This window comes from Homo sapiens, chromosome 4 (genome assembly GCF_000001405.40).
Source record: "Homo sapiens chromosome 4, GRCh38.p14 Primary Assembly".
Taxonomy (NCBI): Eukaryota; Metazoa; Chordata; class Mammalia; order Primates; family Hominidae; genus Homo; species Homo sapiens.
This window is the reverse complement of record NC_000004.12, coordinates 152,887,884-152,914,330: the sequence shown is the minus strand read 5'-3', so window position 1 is coordinate 152,914,330 and position 26,447 is coordinate 152,887,884. Positions and strand designations below refer to the sequence as shown.

General features: G+C 36.4%; 2 protein-coding genes across 7 annotated transcripts in view; both read right to left on the bottom strand.

Moving 5' to 3' along the window:
• Positions 1–2,992, bottom strand: part of FHDC1 (FH2 domain containing 1) — a 68,333-nt gene extending 65,341 nt beyond the window's left edge. Inside the window, exon 1 of the mRNA XM_047416336.1 lies at positions 2,329–2,992. The gene's annotated coding sequence lies outside the window, so the exon portion shown is untranslated. The remainder of the gene's footprint in view (positions 1–2,328) is intronic.
• Positions 1,974–26,447, bottom strand: part of ARFIP1 (ARF interacting protein 1) — a 132,404-nt gene continuing 107,930 nt past the window's right edge. For all 6 annotated transcript variants that reach the window (NM_001287432.2, NM_001025595.3, NM_001025593.3 and 3 more), the window contains 2 exons: positions 26,024–26,198; positions 1,974–4,267 (listed from right to left, as the gene is read on the bottom strand). In NM_001287432.2, the coding sequence (NP_001274361.1) occupies positions 4,112–4,267; positions 26,024–26,198 (331 nt within the window). In that variant the 3' untranslated portion in view covers positions 1,974–4,111. The remainder of the gene's footprint in view (positions 4,268–26,023; positions 26,199–26,447) is intronic.

Here is a 26,447-nt window from a genome sequence, read left to right as displayed (position 1 = left end):
TCCTGTACATTACGATGACCACTTGGCAATTTATTATAAAGGCCCATTTATGCGCAAAATCTGTTGAACAGGAAACCTTCAAGTGGGAACATAGAACTGAATTTAATGAAAGTCCTCAAAAAAATTGTTTGCATTGTCCTATTTTAATAGGTCCTGCTATACTGTAAAAATAGTAAAGGAACTGTGACCTTGGGAAAGCTTTGAAATAATGCAAAATACAGCTGGTCTTCTGATCAGAAAATAGCCTACTTACAACTGGATAGTCTTAGCTAATGTAAAAATTTGTAGTCTTAAAGGGGAATTAGATTTTTGAAAATACCTAAATTTGGTTAAAATTGTGATTAGGGCTGGGTGTGGTGGCTCACACCTGTAACGTAATCCCAGCACTTTGGGAGGTGGAGGCAGGCAGATCACCTGAGGTCAGGAGTTCGAGACCAGCCTGACCCACATGGAGAAACTCTGTCTCTAACTAAAAATATAAAATAAGCCAGGCGTGGTGGCGCATGCCTGTAATCCCAGTTACTTGGGAGGCTGAGAGGCAGAAGCATCGCTTGAACCCAGGAGGCGGAGGTTGCAGTGAGCCAAGATCGCGCCATTGCACCGCAGCCTGGGCAACGAGTGAAACTCCGTCTCAAAAAAAATAAATAAATAAATAAATGAGTGATCAAAGATTTCAGCTAGTTTCAACTCTCCCAGGCAAACTGAAAGGTTAAAAAAGAAAAGAGCTACTGGCAAAGGATATTTAGGACTATTGCAAATAGGTATTTAAGTAGTACTTTACGAAATTAGCATAAATTATACTTGAATGACTAGCAACTCAGATAATTTACTTTTATTTTTCAAAACTACAGTCATCTCCAGTGAAAACTAAAGAATGGGCACATTTTGAGGTAGCTACATTATTCTTTCAATTAACAGTTCCATGATTAGAAGAAATTTATCTTTAGTTTTTTCAATATACATAATTTTACTTTATGTAACACTTTTCAAGCTCACCTGATTTCTTTTGCAGAATACTGCAAGTTAAAGGTCAGTGGATAGAAAGGCAAGCATCTTGCATACTTTGCAATCTACCTAGTATGAAGCCATTTGCGGGGAGATGGATTTTTTCCCCAATGGGAAGATATTTAATACACATTAAACTTAACTTTAGAAGAAACTTGACACTTTTGACACATTGATTTAATTATGCGGTTGAAATGGCAGGATTTAAAGGGGAATTGAAGTATATAGTTGCAAATACTCATCCAGCATTACATTTGGAGATGGGGGTTGGCTAAGTCAGTTTAACATATTTTGAAGCCTTGATAGTTTCATCTGTTAAAAAAAAAGTGTGTTACATAATCTCTAAGGAACATTCTAGTTTCACACTCTATAGGATAAGCTTCAGTAACATTATCAGTGTGTTTTGAATATGGAAAAGATGCTTCTTAAAGCCTAGATTTCAGCTAAATTGCTTTTGCAAACCCAGATAGTTCCTGGACCCTAAGATTTGGAAGCTTTGGGATGAAAAGTTTAATTTCACAGACCAGTTCCTCAGTGCATTATTTTTTCTAGAATAACAACTTCTATTTTAATGACAGAAAAGCCAGCCATTTTCATCCATTCCCTGCTCTCACACCCAGCATCCCCAAACTCTCCAGTTGGTGATTGTTCAGCCTTTATCTTCCTGTTTTTCTCTTTCATTATTTCATTTTATATATACAGCACTGGCTTAAAAAATATACTAAACAGGTACATGTGTATGCTCTTAGAGGTGTAAATTGGCACAGTCTTTCTTGAAAGCAAACAGGCAATATATTACAAAGTTTTAGAAGTATGTATATACTTTTGAGGGCCCATTTTCACTTCTAGGACTATAACCTAAGGGAGTAAGTAAGTAAAAGTGCAAAGATGTAAATGTATATTAAAGGATATTCAAAATAGAGCTTGTATATTAAAATCCAAAACTAAAATATCCAACTTCAGAGGTGTTGAGTGGTTCCATGCAGTATTTATTCACTTGGGAAGGTACTTATCTTCTATTACTTGAAATTTTCTTCTAATTCTTTTCTATAATGAACATAAATTACATTCCTAACAAAGTAAATGTACCATTGGCTAAATATATTGATTTACTTTTTTCTTTTGGTCATGTGCCCACTATCAGAATCATGGATATTTTAAATTTATTCTGAAAAAAATTAATCCATGAAACTATTTAGCTCCTTAGCTACAGTAACTGTTATTGAAATGTGGTTAAGAATGGACATGTTCAGCTCTCAAAAGAGATTCACATTGAAAAAAAATAGCTTACTGAGCTAAAACAATTATAAGTGACAGAAGTACCTTTTTTTTTAAGGTTCAGAAAACGCAAATTATGTGTCTTCAGAATTTCCAAATAGTTACTTCTTAAACTATGAAGGTCCAGAGAAACGATTTACTGCAGCAAACACGTTTAATAAGAATACAAAATTCACACTAGAGGCACATTCTGGGGAATGTAAATGAACTATCACAAGTAGTAATTCTGCTGGAAGAATAAAATAAGGCTCTCTGAGTACAAATATACAGGAAGGAATGATTTAAAATAGGTATGATTTACAATCACATTACATTGTATTAAGCACTCAAAACAGGCATATTAATTAAAAAGCCAGCTAAAAGGCATTTGAACATATATAACAAATCTTACAGTCCACAAAGTTCATGTATAACGGTAATTTTAAGTACTTCATTTCAACACAGAAGAAATGAACAGGTGAGGGATGCCTCTCAAAATATTAATTTATGTCTATGACAAAAACTAAAAGAGCTTTACATTGAAAATGGATTACACTACTGATAGAACCATGTAGTGGACAGGGCAACCACATTAAAACAAAACCAACAGTGCCGAGCAACTAAAACAGTACTGGCCTTTCCAATCCTCTTTCTTCCTGGTACCACCACACTGTCCCAAATTACCTCTTCATTACCCAAATCAAAGAATCTTTCTGTTTTCCCAATCCTCAAAAGGAATGAAGAAAAACCAAAGAGCAAACTCAAAAGATGATTTTTACCATAAACCTCAAATGTGGCTTAACAAGTACAAAGAAACCCAACATTCATACATAGTGCTCCATTCCATGGAAGGAATAGACACATCAAACATTATCCAACAGGGGTTTCTTTATGGATTTTGTACATTGGTTGAACAAGAATTACTGTATCTGAGAAGGCACATATCTGTGATTTAAGGCTTAAACGGTATTGTTACATATGGAAGTCAATAAAAGCTGTCTATGTATTCACTTCTATCAAAATGGAACTGACCCAAAAACTAGTTTTCTAAGTACAGATTTCTACTCCAGAAACCATTAAGAATTTCCATTCCCACGTCCACCTGTCAAAAAAAAAAATTCTCTTAAGCAGGTTTTGTTATGAACCAAAAGAAATTGCAAATGTAACTGTCCAATGACTTCGGGTGAAGCAAATTCATAAGCTTAAAAGCCTCACAGAAATGACAGTGTGATTTCTGTGTCTTTAAAAAAAAGTCTAAATAAAATTACAGTGGTACAGATTCATTTTTAAAAAGGTATTTGCCACAACTCCACAAGCTAATCATTCATTAGAGCTGCTGCCTCTGTGTGGACGCTGCAGGAACACCATATAACTTTACTCTGCAAAATAGTTTCTTTTTTCTTTAATACATGAAAATGAATCTCTTAAAGATGTTTAATATATTCACATATAAAATATCTGATGTTGATACAAATCATGTAAACCTCCCTTTGGAAAAGTTACAATCGGCCCTCATTTCCAGGACCAAAAACCTTGAATTTTTATCTTGTCAGTGCAAATCTCTATTAGATGTTTTCAAACTACAGAAATAGCCATCAACCCTCACAATACAAAAGGATTTCTCAAAAAGGAAAATTATTGTGTTCAGATTATAGAAACTATGTTTACATTAAAACCACCCTTAACAGTTCAATTGTTAAAGTATGAAAAAGGGAAAAATTAAAGCTGTTTGTGCAAGAATCACTATAATGCTTGTCACCCCTCCCACTTCCCCCAACTCTGCTTAATTCTTGTTAGGTTGGTTTAGAAATATAACAACGCGACTTTCTTTTTATTTTCCGCTGTGATTTTACTGTTCTTCAAGCCAAGATGGGGCATCCACTCCAGGGGTTTTCAATTTGATATGGAACTGTTTAAGTGTCTGTTCAAGCTGCTTCTGATTCCCAGCAAAGTAAGCGGCAATGGCATTGTGGAAAAGGACCAGCTGATTGTGCAATACTTTAACCTGTGGACAGGGCAGAGTTACAAGACCAAGCATTAACACCAATAACAATAAAATAGAGAGTGATTTATTACATTCCTTAATTAAATAGTGTATCTCTCTTGAAGAAAAGCTGGCTTAATAATGACCAAGTATTTCACACATACCAAGTGTACACTGCCTTGCAGGGTCACTGAACCTTTGATGACTTTTTAATTACCCTAAAGAGAATAGGTCAGTTTTAAGATGCCCAAATATATACCCTATTAACCATTTTCAAACATTATTGAGAGGATTAATTAAAAATATCATTAAATCCTCCTCAAACTAAGTACATTCAAAATCATGTGAGATATCAAAAAGGGAAAATTATATATAATTGCTACACAATGTATGAATAGTAAATATGGACATCATTAAATCTAAGCTTTATGTAAGCCAAGTAGGCTGGATACTTTTAAATATTGACTTTCTTTGTAAAGAATCAAGCAAGTAGCAAGTGTTGCTCAGAAAATCAATTTACTTAACGCTCATATGACTCTCAATTATTTTCAACTGCTTATTACTTCTGCTGATATCAAGAGTATATTTTAACCAAGTCATACTACCTCTATAAGTCTTTCTTAAAGAAATAAACAATGCATCAAAAAGATTTATAAACTGTTTCCTGAGGTTGTTTTTCTTTTGTTTTGTTTTGTTTTTTGAGACAGAGTCTTGCTCTGTCACCCAGGCTGTTATGCAGTGGCACAATCTTGGCTCACTGCAACCTCTGCCTCCAGGGTTCAAGTGATTCTCATGTCTTGGCCTCCCGAGTAGCTGGGATTACAAGTGTGCACCACCATGCCCAGCTAATTTTTGTATTTTTGGTAGAGATGGGGTTTCACCATGTTGGCCAGGCTGGTCTCAAACTCCTGACCTCAGGTGATCTGCCTGCCTCAGCCTCCCAAAGTGCTGGGATTACAGGCGTAAGCCACCAAGCCCGGACATCTGAGGTCTTATTTACAACTGCAAAATGTTAAATAAGAATTCTGATTCCCATCCAATATGACATTCATTAAAATTGAACTTTAATAATAAATGATGTAAAAATATTTGAAACACGATGCTAAATGAAAAAACAGGATAGAAAATTTGTTTCACTATATTACACACACACACACACACACACACACACACACACACACACACACACACACTTCTCTCTAGCCATTTCTGAAAATGATTTCCAAAACTGAGCTGGTCTCGGTCACCTCTGCCATTGTGACTGAGTCTCAGATCTCTTCTGTAGAACAGGTTGTCAGGGACAGGTCTAGGGAGCGCTTCAAGGGCAATCTGCCCTGACAGAGGGTAGAAAAATCACTGTATGATGTTATATGTGAAAGAATTTCTTAAGTAAGGCTTATAAAACCCATAAATTATAAAGAAAAAGATTGATAATTAAACTGCATTAAAATTTAGAATTTCTTTTCTTTTTTTTTGAGATGGAGTTTTGCTTCTGTTGCCAGGCTGGAGTGCAGTGGCGCCATCTCAGCTCACTGCAACCTCTGCCTCCCGGGTTCAAGCGATTCCCCTGCCTCTGCCTCCCAAGTAGCTGGGATTACAGGCACGCACCACCACGCCTGGATAATTTTTTGTATTTTAGTAGAGACGGGGTTTCACCATGTTGGCCAAGACCGTCTCGTGATCTGCCCGCCTTGGCCTCCCAAAGTACTGGGATTACAGGCGTGAGTCACCGTGCCCGGCCTAATATTCATCAAAAGATAGTGAAAAGATAAGCTACATTCATGAAAATATAGTGAAAAGATAAGCTACATACTGGGAAAAGGTATCTGCTTTATATGTAACTGGCAAAGAATGTGTATCTGGAATATATGAAGAACTCCCAGAAACCAAAAACAGCCCAATTAAAAAAGAGCAAATAACACAGATAAACATTTCACAGAGGAGGAAACAGGAATGGCTAATTACAACTGAGAAGATATCTAGTCTCATTAGGAAATAGGAAAACTCAAATTAAAACTAACATGTGACACCACTTTATACCCTCCACATTAAGAAAACTAAATATTATAACAACTATATACTATTGACGGGTGTATAAATATGTACAATTGTTTTTGAAAACAATCTGGCACGAACTAGTAAAATGAAAGATATAAATGCCCTATGGAACTGTAATTTTACCGCTAAGAATCTGCCATAGAAAAACTTGCATGTGTGTTTCATGAAACATGTACAATTATGTTCATGGCAGCACTGTTTTTAGCATTAAAAAAGCAAGAAAACCACCACAAAGTTGTATATACAGGAGAACAGATAGAGTGGTCTCTCAACGCAATGGGGATACTATATAGGAGTAAACATAAATGAACTGTAGCTACATGCATCACTATGGATGAAACTCAGGAGTATCAGGTCAAGCAAAACAACTTGCAGAATGCCTGTGGTAGGATTCCACTTACATAGAGTTCAAACTGAATGATATATTCATATGTGAATGATATATTCATATGTGGCAAAACTATAAAGAAAACCAATAGGAACAATAAACAAATTCAGAATAGGTTTATAGAGGGAGGACAGTAGAGAGGATAAAGTAAGGGTAAAGCACAAAGGATGTTTCAAAAGTATTAATAATATTTGTTTCTTAACTTGGGTGGTGGGAACATGGCTGCTTTTTTTGTTATTTTTGTTACTCTTTATATTTTGTCTGTATGTTAAACATTCTTTTATTAAAAAAGAGAAAAAGATTATGAGAGCTGAAGTCTGTCTACATCAACTTTGTTGAAGACTTGCACTGTTCACAATGTTCCCATTTTATATTCAGAGGGAAAAAACCACCTAAAATGTTACTTACCTCCATTCATATAATAAATATTACACAGGGTCATACTGTTATGTGTCAGGCACTTCTCTAGGGGTTGGGAATGCAAGCAATCAACAAAAAAGGCAAACATCTCTTCTCAAAAGAAGTTTATGTTCTATTGAGGGAAGAAAGAGAAACATCTAACATATATAGTATGTTAGATGGTGATACATGTTACAGAGAAAAATAAAGCAGCAATGTGGAATGTGAGATGTATGTCTGGGTGAGAGTTGCAATTAAATAGGAAGGGCTCATTGAGGTAACAGTTGAATACAGATTTAAGGAAGTGAGAGAATAAACTTTTAAGTTATCTGGAAGAAAAACATTCCACACAGAGGAAATAGCAAGTTCAAACGGCCTGAGGTAGGCAGTGTGCTTGGTATGTTTGAGAAGCACCAACAAGGCCTCTATGACTGCAGCAGAGTGAATAAGGGCCTGGTATATGCGGTAAGACAGGTAATGGGTTGCTAGATGGTGCAGGCCCTTAGATATCATTAAAAAGATCTGGCTCCTTGTCTGAATGAGATGAAAAGCTACTGGTAGGTTCTAAGCAGAAAAATGACAACACTTAATTTAATAAACATGCAAAGGTAGAAGTAGAGAGAGACCTATTAGAATATTACAGCAATAACCTGGGTGAGGTAATGGTGGCTTGGACTACAGTGGTAAAAGAGGAGATCGTGAGAAGAGGTGGGATTCTGAATATAATGTGAAGATGAAGCCAATGGAATCTGACAACAGATCAAGATGGGAGGTGACAGAGAAAGAGAACACTCAAAGATGTGCTAAGAGTTTTGCTCCAAGCAACTGAAAGAATGAAGTTGCATTTACCGAAATGGCAAAGACTGTGAGAGGGGCAGGCATGGAAGAGGAGAAAAGGTGGATATTAACAGCTTAGTTTTGGACATGCTTGAGATATCTCTTAAAATAGCAGTTTGGGCTAGAGTTGTAATTTGGGAGTCATTAATATACAGATGATATTTAAAGCCACATGACTAGATAAGCGCCTAAGAGAGTGGACAGAGAAGTGATTCAAGGATTAAGTCATGAAAAATGAACCTTGACCCTTGTATCTCAAATTACATACAAAATTTAATTTGAAATGGATCATGGGCCCAAGTGTCAGGGCTAAAGCTACAAAAACTTATAGAAAAAAACATAAGAGAAAATCTTAATGATCTTTGGTTTGGCAAAGAGTTTTAAACAATATACACAAAGCATAAATTATAAATGAAAAACATCAATAAATTGGACTTCAAAAATATTTCTCTCTTCAAAAGACACAAAAGTGAAAAAGCCATATATTTGGAAAAAATACTTGCAAAACAGGTATCAAAGAACTTGATTCTAGAATACATAAAGAATTCTTGGCCAGGCACGGTGGCCCATGCCTGTAATCCCAGAACTTTGGGAGGCTGAGGTGGGTGGATCACCTGAGGTCAGGAGTTGAAGACCAGCCTGGCCAACATGATGAAATCCTGTCTCTACTAAAAATATAAAAATTAGCCAGGCATGGTAGCAGGCACCTGTAATCCCAGCTACTTGGGAGGCTGAGGCAGGAGAATCGCTTGAACCCGGGAGGTGGAGACTGCGGTGAGCCCGTATCGCGCCACTGCACTCCAGCCTGGACAACAGAGTGAAACTCCATCTCAAAAAAAAAAAAAAAAAAAAAAAAACAATTCTTACAATTCAGTAAGAATAACCTAACCAAAAAGCAGGTAAAAAATTTGAACAGACATTTCATCAAGGAAAACACAGATGGCAAATAAGCACATAAAAAGATGCTCAACATCTTTAGTTATTAGGAAAATCCAAATTAAAACCACTACACATACACTAGAATGGCTAAAATTAAAAAACCTTGACCATACTCCTTACTGACCAGGATGCTGAGCAACTGAAACTATCATACACAGTTGTTGGGAATGCAAAATGGTATAAGCATCTTAGAAAAGTTTGTCAGTTTCTTAAAACCTTACATGCAGCTACTATGTAACACAATTATTCCACTCCTAGGTATTTGCCTAAGAGGAATGAAAGCAACGACTTCTACATGAAAGTTCATAATAGCTGTACTTGTAATAGCTTAAAACTGAAACAACCCAAATGTCCATCAACCATTTGATGCCAGTCAGAATGGCGTATTAAAAAGTCAAGAAACAACAGATGCTGGGAAGGCTGTGGAGAAATAGGAACACTTTTATACTGTTGGTGGGAATGTAAATTAGTTCAACCATTGTGGAAGACAGTGTGGTGATTCCTCAAGGATCTAGAACCAGAAATACCATTTGACCCAGCAATCCCATTACTGGGTATATACCCCCCCAAAAATATAAATCATTCTATTATAAAGATACATGCACACATATGTTTACTGCAGCACTATTCACAATAGTGAAGACATGGAATCAACCCAAATGCCCATCAATGATAGACCAGATAAAGAAAATGTACATATACACCATGGAATACTATATAGCCATAAAAAGGAACAGGATCATGTCCTTTAGATGGACATGGAGGTAGCTGGAAGCCATCATCCTCAGCAAACTAACACAGGAACAAAAAACCAAACACTGCATGTTCTACTTATAAGTGGGAGCTGAACAATGAGAACACATGGACTCAGGGAGGAGATCAACACACACTGGGGCCTGTCGGGGGGTTGCCGGAGGAGGGAGAGCATCAGGATAAATAGCTAATGCATTCAGGCCTTAATATTTAGGTGATGGGGCCAGGTGCGGTGCCTCACACCTATAATCCCAGCACTTTGGGAGGCCGAGGCGGGCAGATCACGAGGTCTGGAGTTCAAGACCATCCTGGCCAACATGGTGAAACCTGTCTCTACTAAAAATACGAAAAATGAGCCGGGCGTGGTGGCACGCACCTGTAGTCCCAGCAACTCGGGAGGCTGAGGCAGGAGAGTTGCTTGAACTATGGAGGCGGAGGGTTGCAGTGAGCCGATATTGCGCCACTGCACTCCAGCCTGGTGACAGAGCGAGACTCCGTTAAAAAAAAAAAAATATATATATATATATATACACACACACACATATATATATAGGTGATGGGTTGATAGGTGCAGCAAACCATCATGGCACACGTTTACCTATGTAACAGACCTGCACATCCTGCACGTGTACCCATGAACTTAAAAATAAAAATAACTTAAAAAAAAAGAATTTTAACTTCCAATCTTTTAGAATTAGAGGAGAGAATAAAAGCAGAGTATGGGATTTAATTCATGTACTGGCCTTGCAGGGAGCTGCTGTTAATAGTCTAGAAAGTTAGAGAGTCAGAAAGAAAGTGGGAAGGGCATCCAAAAATTTTTAACTAGCCCTGCAAATGTCAATATAAGTCAGTTTGTTTCCCCACCCCCAAGTAGCTGACTAAACACAGAGACAGCTCCTTTTGTAGCTGAGGAAGACTCAGTAGCCCACTAACAAAGGCTCAGGCTCAGTGTATTTGTTGTATTTAAACTGGCCCCCCACCCCACAATGCAACTTAATCCATGGGAAATCAAAGATGGTTCTTTTTAGGATTGAATTCTAGTTTTCACAACAAAATGATACAATACCCATATACACAAGAAACATTCTCCCAGTAATTGTTAGAAGACTGATGTGTAAAGCCTTTTAAAGTATACATGCACATCAGATCAGTTCCCTGGTATAGAGGGGACCTTTGAGGATTCACAATTTTGTAATTATAATGTAAAAACAAAAGAAAAAAAAAAACTCCAAATGGAAATGAAGTATAAAATTTAATCCTCAAATATAAGAAGCTATTTTTTTTTCTAAAAAGCGAATTGTTCTCAATTTGGCTTATAACAAAACAGATAATTTATCTCACTTTTCTATTAGTATTGGTTACTGTAATGTAGTACAAGCTTAACTTTGGTAGTGTATCTTCTAAATCAGATACAAATTTACGTAAGAATAGTGTGTTGACTCATCCAATCAAAACATAATGAACAATCCTCAATATGAACATTCTTTTTCAACTAAATGAATTAAAAACTTAGAAGATTTTCTGCCTATTTTTTATTAACTAATTTGTACTATGATATGCATGTGTATAATGTCCTCAATGCCATTCTGCCTGATATGCTACAGAGAATCCTCAGAACATTTTGGTTATTAAATACATTGAAATAATTACCAATTAAAGGGAATAATTAAGTAGTATTAGAAAAGGAATTGCAATACAACTTTTAAAATAAGAAATTTTTGCAATTTTGAGAATCATGCTGTTACTATACAAGCAGTTTCAGTAGAACATAAAATTATTATTTCAGTTTATTTGGCTTACTTGGTTTATCAGGTTCACTTTACCAGGCAATTTGACCTTGTAAAAGTCAACCTGGGAAAGATTCTGGTTTCTCAAATACCGCTCGCTGGCTTTCAGAGAGAGACAAAGAAAGTGAGGTGAGAGGAAGTTCAAATCCCACTTTTAGGAGAAAGGACAAAAAGCCAAAATGTTCCAGGAAATATTTCAGGGTCTTTACCTTTTTTCAATTTACTTCTATATTTAAGCTATCAGCCCACAGGAACTGAGGAGCACAGAATGAAAGAAAGAGCAGGTATTTCAGCTATTTTTGGTAGACTATGCTTTGTTATACTGGGGGAGCACTAACTTTTGGAAACACCTTCTATATGACACATAATGCATTACCCTTATATCTACTCTGTTTAGTCTCCCCCCGCCCACCCCGAGACCCGAGACAGGGTCTCACTCTGTTGCCCAAGCTAGAGTGCAGCAACACAGTGATAGCTCACTGCAGCCTTGATCCCCTTGGTTCAAGTGATCCTCCTACCTCAGCCTCCTGAATAACTAGGAATAATGGTGCGCATCACCATACCTGGCTAACTTTTTTATTTTCCGTAGAGACCGGGTCTCTCTATGTCACTCAGGCTGGTCTCAAACTCTTGGCCTCAAGTGATCCTCCCACCCTGGACTACCAAAGCACTAGGATTACAGGTGTGAGCCACTACATTTGGCCTTGTACAGTCTTAAGTCCATGATACAGTTGAAAAACAAAAAATAAAGAAAACTCAGAAAGTTAAGTAATTTGCCTAAGTTTAGACAGGTGATAGATGGATTGGGATCTGGGAAACTCAGGAATGTCTTATTCCAAGTTCCAAGTATGTCCTTTCACCTATTTTAATCTGCTTCTATTCATGGGCAATAGACATTTTAGAAACCTTTGAAACAAAATTTGAAACAGACAAGAAAGGGCAACAGAGCACTTAAAGGAAAAGTGGTAGTGTAGAAAAGACACACAGCACTTTAACCTTGTTCCCAATTTTGTCTCTAGCCTTGAAGTTGTATTAAAACATCCTTGGGACAAGGATCTAACACAGGATTGGAGCAGACGAAAGAAATAAAAGTTAATTCTTGCTAAAACTATGAAGATTAATAAAACATTAAACTTTTATATAATCTTCCCATATTTACAGAGTAGGAAAAAGTCTTTATTGAACTATTTATGTCCTAAGTTAGAAATGATTTAAAATATAAAATATTAATACAACAGAAAGGCAGAGATTTAAAACAGGAGCAAAAGAAGATAGAGGTAACAATTATAATGGAATGGCGGCAAATTTGACAGATTTTGAAAACCTAATATCAGAAACAATTACAGCAATTTAGAAATATACTAAATCATTACAAACTCACTTATGAAGAACTTTCGTAAACATCTGCCAAACAATGAGCAAAACCACTACGGCAACATCTGTTGAGTGACCTAAACATATCATACAATACTTTCATTGTTAAAGGGCAAAACAAACTCTAACACTGACTACTAAGGCAGAAAGACAAGCTGGAGTTTTAAATAGAAACTAGGTAACTGAAATTTAAGAGCAGAACTGATAGATGATGCCAAGTGGACTACACCGAAAACTTTCTCTTGCCTACACAGCATGTATCAATAGAACATAAATAACATTTACAAAGTTACTGACTGAAAAAACTAATGATAAGCATTACCTTGTCCACATCAAAATAATATAAAAGACAGTTTATTTCTACCAAATTAACTTTTTTCAAATAAAATTTAGATTATATGACCTTCCTATTCAGAGGCACTAAATTTGTTTAAAAAAGCAATTCCTGGTTAAAATAAGTTATTAGTCTTCATATATTTAGGTTGGTGCAAAAGTAATTGCAGGTTTTGCCACTGAAAGTAATCGCAGGTTTTGCCATTGAAAGTAATGGCAAAAACCGCAATTACTTTTGCACCAACCTAATATTTATGATTGTTAAGTTCTTCAAAGCAGTTACTGGCTTTCCCAATAATTCTATGAAATAGGGGTTTATATTAAATGTACAAAAATATTGGGATAGTAGCTGGTTGTAAGAAAAAGGTGTGTAAGAAAAAAGTGTAAAAATCATATTTTGGTAAGAGGTCCCCAACCGCTAACATGTAAGGTATCAACTCCTTTCTTTACTCCTATTAAAAAATATACCATTCTATGCTTTCCCTGCCCATCACTGAACTTTTCCCAGAAAGAGATCAGAAGAATAAGAGGCAAGAAAATATACCTGCCTTGGCCTTTTATTAGGTTTGTGGAGTATAATTTTATTAGTTTGCAATGGCTTTGGAAATGCCTGTCATGTTAAAGCAACTACTGTTTGAGAAAGAGAAACACTATAAAAATATGGGTGTGGGCACTGGGAAGGGAGTGAGAGAAGGAAAGACAAATATGAACTACAAGTGGGGTAGAAAAATAGGTTTTTACATTCTTCTGATGCATTGGGATAGGTTTCAACAAATCACTGACAAGCAGAAGGTTAAAAAAAGTCCTTAAGAAGGAAAAACAAAAGGCAGAGTTCTGAAGAGAAGAAAATTGATGAAACATTACCTATAGACTCCAGTAACAGCAGGTCACAGAACTGTGGTGACGTCTTATAATTCTTTATCGAATAATTACATACATTAACATTCTGAGTGCGGAGATTTTCTCACCTTTAGCAAAAAAAGTCTTTCGCCTTTTTTGTTCTATGTTTTTACAGTGTTAGTTCCCGCCCTTTGATCCCTCCCTCCCTTCTCCCTCTCTCATTTTCTCCCTCCTTTTCTTCCTTCCACCCTTCCTTCCTTCCTTCCAAGAGCTCCAAGTTTAGACGTGATCAATATAGCTTCTGTTTTCCAAGGTTATCTTTCCATCTTCTCTCTCTGCTATCTGAACAATCTCACCTTGGGCAGCATTACAGCATTGTATTATACTTAACTAAAAGCAGGGCTGTGGAGTCGGAGAGATCTAGATTTGAATCCCAGTCTGGCTGTGAGACTTTGAACAAACTACTCAACCTCTCTGAACCCCAGCATTATCATCTGTGCACTGGTATATAATCATCTAGATCACATATTATACAGATATAGGTATTATATATATAAAAATCCTTATAGCAACTTTCCTCCATTTACAGATTATAGTACTCAAAGATTAGTGTCCACTGACTAACTCAATACTCAATGTAGGAAGGCCGTGCTCCATGGAGCACCTCTAGGGGCAAAAACCGACTAGCAGGCAATCACAACATAGTATGTTATGTGCTTTAACTGGAGAAAGGCCTGGGCACTATGGGGAGGAGGAAGGGATGAACACACTTTCAAGTTGGCAGAGAAAATATAAAGTATCATAACTTCCCATCTGATCTCCGAGTCCAAAATCAATTTAGGTACAAAAGGGTAGGTAAGGAATTGGGTATTTCATTTCATCAATTAGATGAGAGATATAAAGTTATCTCAAAAAAAGTTGGGAGATCGTTATTAACCTAACAGAGAAGTTTGACAATCATGGGCTTGACAGCACTGAATCCTCTTTACAAAACCACACAGAAGTCCATAGTTACAGTTAGGGGTAGTGAGATCCCAGGAATAGCATGCAAGGTCATAGGGAATAGAAAGAGGAGGGGATCCCACCAATGTTTTCTTTTTTTACCCATCCTATAACTTCTCTCAGATCTTTACCCCATTCCTGATCTCAAGTTCAGAATTAGTCCCTGTCCCTTGAGGTACTCACAAAATCCCTATGAAATCCAAAAAAAAGGGATACATATGTAGGCAGATGTTGGAGGGGGTGGAGGGAATCACTGAATTCCATATTTAGATAACAAGAAACAGAAAGCTCAGGTATCCAGATCTGCTGGAGCTATCTGGTAAGTGACGAAATGGGGCCAAGTCACCGCAGGGATCAGCAGACCCTGTGCTCACCAGCTTTTGGACACTGGGCAATAGGAACTAGTCAAACCAATGGCCCATCCAATGGAAAAGCCTTATCAAAATTTGTTAGGACAAAACAATTACTCTTCTTTTCAAAAAGCCTGTAAGTAGTAATAGTATGCTGTGCTTCAAGAAGGGAACAGATGATTCAACAGAAGTTTACAAATCACTTAAACATATGATCCAGGGTTTCTCCAAGAATTTTTTTCCTGACTCTTTCCTGCCTATGCACATGTTACCCATTCTTGTGTGGTCCTGCTCAAGTCAAACTGCCTAGCTTACCAGGTACTTTGAGCCCACACTAACATTTTTCTTCATCAAATTCTGTATTTCTTTCTCATGTTTAAGTTAGCATTTTATATATAATTGATTTTATTTAAATTCCTCCTTTAGACTGTAAGTTGCCTCTCCGTAGGCAGTCTGTGATAATACCTTATATAGTACTTTAGGATCAGGCATAATTGCACAAAACAAGCACCTTAAAAAACTTAAGGTGAATTTTTAAAAAAGCATCTTTGAAAATTTAAGGGAAGAAATAAGGATAGAAAATCAGGATGTTATTAAGTTTATGAGGAATGAGGAAAAAAGTTATGAATGTTTTAATCTAACACAGCAAAGTATAGATAAGTCATGGAAGGAAATTATGGTCAACATGAAAACGCTGAGTCATTACTGAGAGAATTTCAAGAAAAGGTTAAAAAGAACATTGCAGCCGGGCGCAGTGGCTCACACCTGTAATCCCAGCACTTTGGGAGGGCGAGGCGGGTGGATCACAAGGTCAGGAGTTCAAGACCAGCCTGGCCAAGATGGTGAAACCCCATCTCTACTAAAAATCCAAAAACTTAGCTGGGCGTTGTGGTGGGCGCCTGTAATCCCAGCCACTCAGGAGGCTGAGGCAGAGAATTGCTTGAACCCGGGAGGCGGAGGTTGCAGTGAGCCGAGATTGCGCCACTGCACTCCAGCCTGGGCGACAGAGCGAGACTCGTCTCAAAAAAAAAAAAAAAAAAAGAACATTGCAAAGTCAAATTCTTAAACACTGCTAGTGTCTTCTGAGACTTTACTCAGAAATGCTAATTAAAGGTTTTACTTTTAAGCAAACTGAAGGAACCATAACTACTAAGAACTAAAAAAGTATAGCAAAGTCACAGCCATAAGCACCCAGTACCATCATCAACAGCACAACCAATGCAGTTATTAGTGATCTGTTCAAGTATCACATTGATCACTTAAAAACTCACCTTTATCACAAACCTGGCAAATCAAGTTGGATAATACCCAAGGCTGGCAAAATAAGTGAAATGTGGATCTGAAGAGCACACATGTATATCAACCATTAGAACAGATACATCACAGCAATAATGATTAAAAAGTAAATTTTTAAAGTGAATTCTTTTCATTCAAAGTGAAAGGAACAATTCCCTCACCTCCAACATATACAGCAGAATAAGAAACTCTAATCCTACTCTATAGTAAGTTGATAGCTTCTGACCAAAAAGGGTTAGAAAATATGTAAGTACCTTATGATTGCCAAAAAAGAACCAAGTCTATAAGAACAGTAATTCATAATTATAAAGCTATCCTTCCTGGAAAGCTTTTCAATACTGTATACAAAATATCCCTCCCTTACAAAAATTGTCATGCCGGAATCTTAGCATAACTGGTAAAAAAAAAAAACTATATGAATTGGTTAGCTAGGTGTGCTTCTCCCCAGCACCCACTCAGGCTTTCATCCCTACTCACTCTTCAACAATTACAATTACCTTGATTTATTCCAAACAGGTATGGGTTGGATGAGTCTAGTTTAAAAATCAACCTACAACTCACAATTCTTTTTGGTTGTATGGTTTATATAAAGACAGTTAATTTCTGCCTCATTTCTAAAGAGAGAAAGGAGGCAATGCAAACCACAAGCAAATTTTTCCTCTTCCATGTGTGTTTAAAAAGACAAACCACTAACAGCAGCAAATGTTGCACCATATGTTAAGATATTTTCTTCTGTAAATGAAAGGTACGATATTGCACTATTTCTACTCTGTCATTTAAGAATGATGTTGCAACAGAACTCACATTCTAAGTTAACTTTTTCTATTCTCACCAACACAGAATTAATCATCTAATTTTGAGCTAAGAGGAAAATTAAAGACTATATTTGGGAAATACATGTCTATTTTAAGTCTCATTTTGGAAAAAAAGATAAGGCACAGTATTTAAGAAACATTTTCTAGCTAACTTTTTTTTTTTTAGCTAACTTAATTTTCCTATCTTTTTAAAAGTATTATTTTTCTGAATAGGTAAGACATATATGTGGTTCAAAATTAAAGATATAAAAAGTATACAGTGAGAGGTTTCATTTTCATTCCTGTTTCCATTCACCCTGTTCCCTCTATAGGTAACTGATTTTATTAATCCTTCCCGTTTTTCTTTGTGCAAATACAAGAAAATATGATTATACATTCTTCCTTCTTTTCTTACATACAAGATACTGTACAATAAACACTACTTTGTGCTTTGCTATTTTCATTTAATTGTCTGTCCTGAGGAGTTTTCTATCATTAGCATTCTCATTTTTTTAAATAGCTGCAAAGTATTTCACTGTATGAAAAAACCAGTTTATTCAATTAGTCCTTTACTGCTGAACCATTGAGTTCTTTCTCATCTGTAGAAATAACAAGTGATGCTGCAATGAATAACCTTGTACCTATGTTATTTCACCTTTGTGTAGGCCCTAAACTACCTCTCCAGCTTCATCCAGTGCTATTTCTCCCCTGTTCCCATTATGCTCTGGCCTCACTGACCGTCAACATATGCTGTTTCTTCTAATTAAAATCTCCTTCCATCACATACCTTTACCTTACTCCTCTCTCTTTCTATCTCGGCCCCAATATCACTGCCTCAGGGAAGCCTTCCATGATACCCCAGCCCCTCCCCCGCAACACACACACCTGGCCAAGTCCTCTGTATACACACATGACATTTCTATTTTCCCTTCATCACACTTACCACAGCTTGTATTTACGTAATTGTTTGGTTAATGCCTATCTGTCTTACTTGACTATAAGCTCTATGAGTGTAAGACCATTATACCTCTATCACCTAACTCAGTGACTGGCATATAAAAAGCAATCCACAAGATCTGGCATGGCAGCTCACGCCTATAATCCTAGCTCTTTGGGAGGCTGAGGCAGAAGGACTGCTTGAGGCCAGGAGTTTGAAAACAGCCTGGGCAACATAGTGAAACTCTGTCTCTACAAAAAAATTAAAAAATTATCCAGGCCTAGCAGCACATGCCTGTCATCCCATCTACTCTAAAGCCTGAGGTGGGAGGAGTGCTTGAGCCTGGGAGGTAGAGGCTGCAGTGAGCCATGATCACACCACTATACTCTAGCCTGGATGACAGAACAACACCCTATCTCAAAAAAAAAAAAAAAAAAAAAAAAAAAGGCCAAGTGCAGTGGCATGTACCAGTAGTCTCAGTTACTTGGAAGGCTGAGGTAGGAGGATCATTTATGGCCAGGAGTTCAAGACTACAGTAAGCTATGACTGCACCACTGCACTCCAGCCTGGGCAACACAGTGAGACCCTGTCTCAAATAACTAAATAAATACAAATAAAAAGACCACTCCATCAATATTTGCTGAATAAAGGAATAAAATGTGAAAGGTGCTAATTATGCATCAGTCTGTGTTACTGTTTTACCTATATTTGTTTTACCTTTTAAATATCTCCTGAAGCCTTCAGTTCACTCCATTTCCACTATCACTATTGTAATCCAACTTCCTACCATTTCTTGTCTAAGCCACTATACTTACTCTTAGGCCCTACTAAGATCTATCCTCCATATTTTAGACCTATCATTTGCTAAGAATTATTTCAAGGGCTTCCCACTGATATTAAACTTTTCCCTAATATGGCCTATCAGGGCTACATAGTCTGGCCACCACTTACCTATCCAGCTGTCTCCCTATGCTCTGGTCAAACTGGCTCTAGTTACATTCATTCTTTCACCATACCACACCCTCTCCTGCCACAAGGCAGTTGCACATGCTGGTATTTCTTCCTGGAATACTCTCTGGTTCTCAGTTTCTCACTTTCTCAACATTAAGTGATGTTAGTGTTCGGCATCACTCCCTCATGAAGGCCTTCCCCAACCACTCTTAAGTGACCATGTACCTTCCCTTGAGAGCACCAGTCACAGCCAAAATTAAGTCTGGAATTAAAGTTGCATGAATAAGAGAATGACTCACAGAATCCAAATGTATGTAATAATATTTGGCACAGTGTTGAAAGGCAGGTTCTTTTGTGTCCAGCACTATGAACTCCCTGGTTGCTTGTTATGCTTACAGACATCAATCCATAAATGCTTATTTTAAAATTTAGAACCAGGTAGTTCTTTCACCTATATAACTTAATCTCACTTTCCCTAGGAGCACACACCAAGAAGTACTACTGTTTTTGCTTTAGAAGTAAAGGTGACATTAAGTCACTGGCATGAATATTTTTAAAGTACTCAAGAAGAAATAGGGGTTCTTTTTCTTTTGACAATGGGAAAAGAGATTTCAAGAATGTATCTATCTCCTTGTGCACATTAGGTATTAACATGCTCCTTAAACTTTGGCAACAAGTATCTATTTTTTAAATTCTGAGGTTTATATTTTTTCCTCTCAAAGAGAAGTTTTAGTAAGCAAAGAATACTTCTGCCCTCAAAGCTTTTCCAAACCTTTAGTGTATTTTTACAAAAAAGTACTAGGCTTTGAGCATTTTTTTCTTTCTTTTTTTTTTTTTTTGAGACAGAGTCTCGCTCTGTCATCTAGGCTGGAGTGTAGTGGCGCGATCTCGGCTCACTGCAACCTCCGCCTCCCAGGTTCAAATGATTCTCCTGCCTCAGCCTTGGGAGTAGCTGGAATTATGGGCACGCTAGGCTAATTTTTGTATTTTTAGTAGAGACGAGGTTTCACCATGTTGGCCAGGCTGGTTTCAAACTCCTGACCTCAAGTGATCCGTCCACCTCGGCCTCCCAAAGTGCTAGGATTACAGGCGTCTTAAATAATATATTAGAAAAGAAATCCTAATATACAGGAATGTTACTGTATTGTGATTATATATGAAACACTGTGAGTGAAAACAACAGTTTTCATATCAATCTAAGATTAGGAATGACTATAAATTTTAAGAAATTTTTTTAAATTAAGTAGCTATATAAATCAAATATGTGTCCAGGATAGATCCCAAGTCTGGTTCATCTTCTTCTGCCTCCTCTGTCATCCTTTAAGTCACTAAAATATAACATAATAATGAAACAAACCTGCATTTAATAGTTATAGCTAATTTGACATTACCTTAGAGTAGGAGTGTATTTTACACTTCTTAAAATAAGAATAAAACCCTTGCTTTTTATATTTATACCCCAAACTGCTTTGTTGAATCTTCTGATACATTCAGATCCCACTCCCAATATATTCATTGCCCTTGAGATTTATCATTCCCAAGTTAAATTAGTCACCTTAAAGAAAAAATTAACCTTCAACTATTTTTTCACATCTTTATACTTCCAAGCCACATAAAAAGCTATCTAAAAAAAAAACATGAGTTGCTTACATTGATCTGCATATTTTTCTTTAACTTTTTGCCTCCTCTTTCTATGCAAACAGAAAACATTGCAGAAAACAGAAGCATTTCTGAGAGACTATGCTTTGGCCTCATGAAAGCAAAGAGTGAGGTAATCAGGATTCTGCCTTTTATCCTCTCCGAGTTGACTTTCATTCACTTCCTTCTCCTTCCAATCCCTGTAGTGCGCCTCTAATTCTGGGAAGAAGGCAAACATGCACTTGCTGAATGAGTACTATATACCTGCACCATTGCTAGGCTTTATGAGGGCTGTAAAAGAAAGCATGGTATCTACTCTCACAAAGTCTACAAAGCACCAGAAATGTCTATTATTCTTTCTCTTTACTAAACTAGCCTATGTTTTGTTTTGAACTCTGAAAGAAACAATAACAGGTAAACAAACTGCCTTAAGTCACAAAATAGCTCAAGTTACATTATTTAAAGGTCTCAAAAAGAAGAAATACTGATGAAAGGAGAAATATCAGAAGACAAATGAGCTATGTCTTTACTGCTACACAACTCAATGTGGTTTAGTAAACAAAGAAGAGAATATCAGAGATGAATAAGGATTGTTTAGGTTAAAGGCAAACACAACTAAATCACGGGGTGAAGAGACAGAAAATACGAACTATAACTAGTAGAACAACACATGTTTTTCATTAAGGGTAAATGACAAATACCCTTAGGTGCATTTATCACACATATATGCAGAAATGTGAGTATTTTACATACCTTACCTCTTTCTTTTGCCATACGGAAGAAAGGCTAGACTAAGTACATATAAACACATCAATTTTATAGCTAAGAACCTAACTCCTGATCTGTCTCAAAATTTTAAAAAAGTTCTAAGAGGGAACAAAGAAAAACACTAAATGCTAAAGCTTATTACTATAGTCACACGGCTGGCTTTTAGTCCCATACTCAAGGACTACTTGCTTTTACTTTATGCCCTATTCTCGTTGTTTGGTTATCTGGCTTCTCATTTTAGAAGAGAAGTGTTATGAAAAGATATTCCAAAAGTCATGACATGAGAACCAAAAGAAAGCCAAAAAGAGAGACAGAGAGAGAGAAAAGCTGCAAAAACAGGTGTATATACTGCAGTACTCTTTAGGACATTATCAAATTACAGAACAGCACATTCATTGATGTTTCATTTCTTCCTGTTAAGAAATAGGATGACTAGCAGGATGTGGTGGCATGCGCCTGTAGTCCCAGCTGCTTGGGAGGCTGAGGTGGGAAAACTGCTTGAGTCCAGAAGTTCAAATCTAACCTGGGCCACATAGTGAGAGCCAGTATCTTTAAAAAAAAGCAGAGGATGGTGAGTGGTTGGGGGGAAGAAATAGGAAAAGTATACTATGTTTTCTTCAAATTAAAGTGTTGGGCCTGGTGCAGTGGCTCATGCCTGTAATCCCAGCACTTTGGGAGGCCAAGGTGGGTGGATCACCTGAGCTCAGGAGTTCAAGACCAGCCTGGCCAACATGGTGAAACCTGTTTCTACTAGAAAAAAAAAAAATTAACTGGGCATGATGGCACGCACCTGTAATTCCAGCTACAGAGAGGCTGAGGCAAGAGAACTGCTTGAACCCAGGTGGTGGAGGTTGCAGTAAGCAGAGATTACATCACTGCACTCCAGCCTGGGCAACATAGCGAGACTCCTTCTCAAACAAAAACAAGAAACAAACAAACGAACAAACAAATTAAAGTGCTAAGTAGATTACCTGGCAACCACACATAAAAGAGATGTTGAGGTACAAATTCACCTAGTTTAACAAAAGAACAAAAAACCTAGACTTGAGGCATTTCAAATTACCAAGAAAGCAAACAGGGATGACAGTTCCTAGGCTAAAAACCTGCTTTTCCTTCCTTTTTAAAGCTATTAAAAGAAACAAAAAAGAGTAAACGTTGCTCAACAACAACAAAAAAACAAAGAAAAGTTCTCTCATGGATCTCTGTCTTCTTCTAAATGACAATTACTACTTAAAAGAACAGTCCGACAATACTTATCGTTTTGAAGAGTTAAATAAAAAATATACAAAGACCAAAGTTTCTTTATAGATTTTACTTTAGACATAGCTGATTACTCAGTTCAAATTCAAACTTAACCTTGATGACAACTGTGGAAAGCCAAAACAAAGAATATCTATGCTATCTGCTGCAGTCTGAATGTTTGTGTCCCTGCCAAATTCAAATGCTGAAATCTTCACCCTCAATGTGATGGTATTAGAAGGTACTAATCACCTTTGGGAGGTACAGTCCTCATAAATGGGATTAGTGCCCTCATGATAAAGGAATGGGAGGGACCCCTCCCTGTTCCACCACGTGAGGATATAGCAAGGAGCCATCTACGAGTCAGAAGGTGGGCCCTCACCAGACACTGGTACCTTCATTGTGAACTTCCCAGCCTCTAGAACTGAAAGAAATAATTCTCTCTTGTTTATAAGCTACTCAGTTTATGGTATTTTGTTACAGCAGCCCAAAAAGACGAAGACATCATCTAAGAACATAAAATCCTTGAGAATAGAAGCAATTTTCTATTTTTATTTAATAGTACTAATAACATTATTCTTAAAGCAATGACTTCCAAGCCTTTATATCTGAAGCCCTGACCCTGTTCATCCAAACTCTAAACACACATCATCAAATTCCTACCAATTGTTTCCACTTGAGTATTCTGTCATCATCTCAAACTAAACACTGGATCAAACAGAAAAAATTCCCAATCCTTTACCCTTACCCCGTTCAGGCCACACCAGCTTCCCATTTTAGTTTTCCGACCCCTGTCGTGCAGCCTTAAAATCACCATATTCCTTCCTTCATGCTGCTATTGCAAAGACCCTAGTTCAGGCTCTTAATCATTTCATTTGGCTATAAAAGATCCCTAATTAGTACATGTGCTTCTATTTTCTTTCTTCCCTTAAGAAAGAAAGAGACTTTCTAAATGACTTTTTCCTGCTACTCTCAACTTTAAAAATTCTTCAATATTTACAAGATAAAATCAGAAGTAACATTCATCTGATTGACATTTAAAATTTATAGAGACGACCTGGCTCTATAAATGAAAAGTGTCTCCTTCCCTCCCTCTGTAAACGAAAGTGTCTCCTTCTTCCCTCCCTGCTCAGTGTACACATTCCAAGGCCACAATTCAAAGTCTGTATGTGGTCAAGGCTTAGTATAATCTGGCTTCCAATTACCATTTGATTCACTCTTCCTTTAAATCACATGAACCTTATGTTTCACTATGTTAGTCTACTTTTCTATCAAACACGTATATTCTTCTAGCATACCTCTTTTAGTATTATTGTGTAGTGATGATAGGGTGGAATGCCAAAAATATTTTTATATTTAAAATGTACAATGTCTATTATCTAAATATTGATATATTCACATCCATTATATATATGACTAAATATATATGACTAAAATATGTATATATGACTAAAATATATAGTGTATGTATAGTATACATACACTATATATTAGTATATATATAGTATACATACACTATATATTAGTATATATATAGTATATATAGTATATATAGTATATATATAGTATATAGTATATATAGTATATATATAGTATATAGTATAGTATATAATATATAGTATATATAGTATATAGTATAGTATATAATATATAGTATATATAGTATAGTATATATAGTATATATTAGTGTATATATACTATATATAGTGCATATATATATTATATAGTATATATTAGTGTATATATACTATATATAGTGCATATATATACTATATAGTATATATATGTATATATAGTATATATATATTTATGTGTATATATATTTATATATACACATAAATATACACACACACACAAAAATAGGTGTATATATATATATATATATATATATATATATATATATGACTAAAATGAATGCAATCTTATGTGCTCAGCTAATGAATACCAGAAGGCTGCACTGGGCTCTGTCTGAATGATGCCAGGCAATTTTTCTAACAACTCTGCTGAGGTTTCCTTTATTGCCACTATAATGTTTTCTGGTGAGTAATTTTCACCCATAGCAGCTTAAAAACAAGTCAGTGAAAGTGCTGGACTAGGTGGATCCCAAAGAAATATATTATTTTATAGGTTTTATAGTAGCCATGAGAGTTTCTAAGGAAATGTTAAAGAAAACAATAAGATACTGACAGTTATAGTTTACTAAAATGCCCTTTGATGTTATGGAGGAGAATATAAACATGACTGTTTCCTGAGAGAACTGAAAAACAATTTTAAGAGGGTACCTGGAAGAGAGTACAGTTGAAGACCTGTCATGACTTCACAGGATGTGAAATGCACAGAAAAAACTACCAACGTGCAATGGTGAGACCCATCTGTTCAGGACTGCACTACACCTATTCCGTACCATGCTCACTCATTTCCCATTTCCAGAACTGCAATCCTGCATACAAAGCTGAATATGCAAGTAATAGAGATATGTCAAACATGAGAAACCATCCTTTTACTTAAACCAAAACACAGGAGCCTATTAGTATATGAATCCACTTCCTGCTGAAACCTACAGCTGGTCCAGTTCAGCCCTCGTTGCTCTAGTCCTTAGATGTGTTCACATATGAAAAAAATGTGGAAAATGGATCTCTTGGCTTCCTTCTCCTAGGTTATGCTAACTGCAGCCCTAAGCTGGACCTTTTAGCTATTTTTCACTTATCAATTGCTGAGAAGAATGCCATAGTTCTTTTCCTGAAATCTGTACCTATCATTAATAGAAAAGCTTCAAAATATTCAGAGCATAATCTATCATTATTTCAATTTTTAAAGCACTTGCTATCAACGCCAATCCAAAGATCAATGGCTGTCCATCAAATACTTTTTGCCATGTGTTATATGTGAAAGACTGGGACGGTGGCATTGATAACTTTTATCAAAGAAAGGTAAATATATTTTGTATGCTTCTAAAAACTCAAACACTGATTACAAATGGAATTCCTTCTTGCAATTGTCATACAAGAGAGTTAACAGAAACAGAAAAACTGACTATCTCTCTTTAGGGTGACTTCAAAGTCCACAGAAAGACCTTAGAAGGTAAAGAATTTACCTTATTTTCTTCTAGAAATTTCAATTTGACAGAAACATCATTGCGCATTTTATCATATTTTTCCTTATGTGCTTGGAAGAGATGCTGTGACTGCTCAATCTTTGGCAGAGTGTTTGCGTCACGTGGTCCAAGATTCAGTTCTTCCAAATCAGTGCGATATGCATCATATTCAATCCTGGAAAGAAGAGAGTAAGTGAAGCATACTACAAGAACAGTAAAGTATGTTCAAAAAATGGGTTGGAAATACGTAATATTCAGTCTCATACTATACAATAAAATATATAAAATTCTCACACATATTCTACTTGACGCTTTTGAAATCATTATTTCTTTAAAAACAAAGAGCTATTTAAATAAGAACAAAGCTGCTGGTTAATCTCATTAACTATTTCTCTCAAAGCACAGTATTAACTGACAAGTAAAA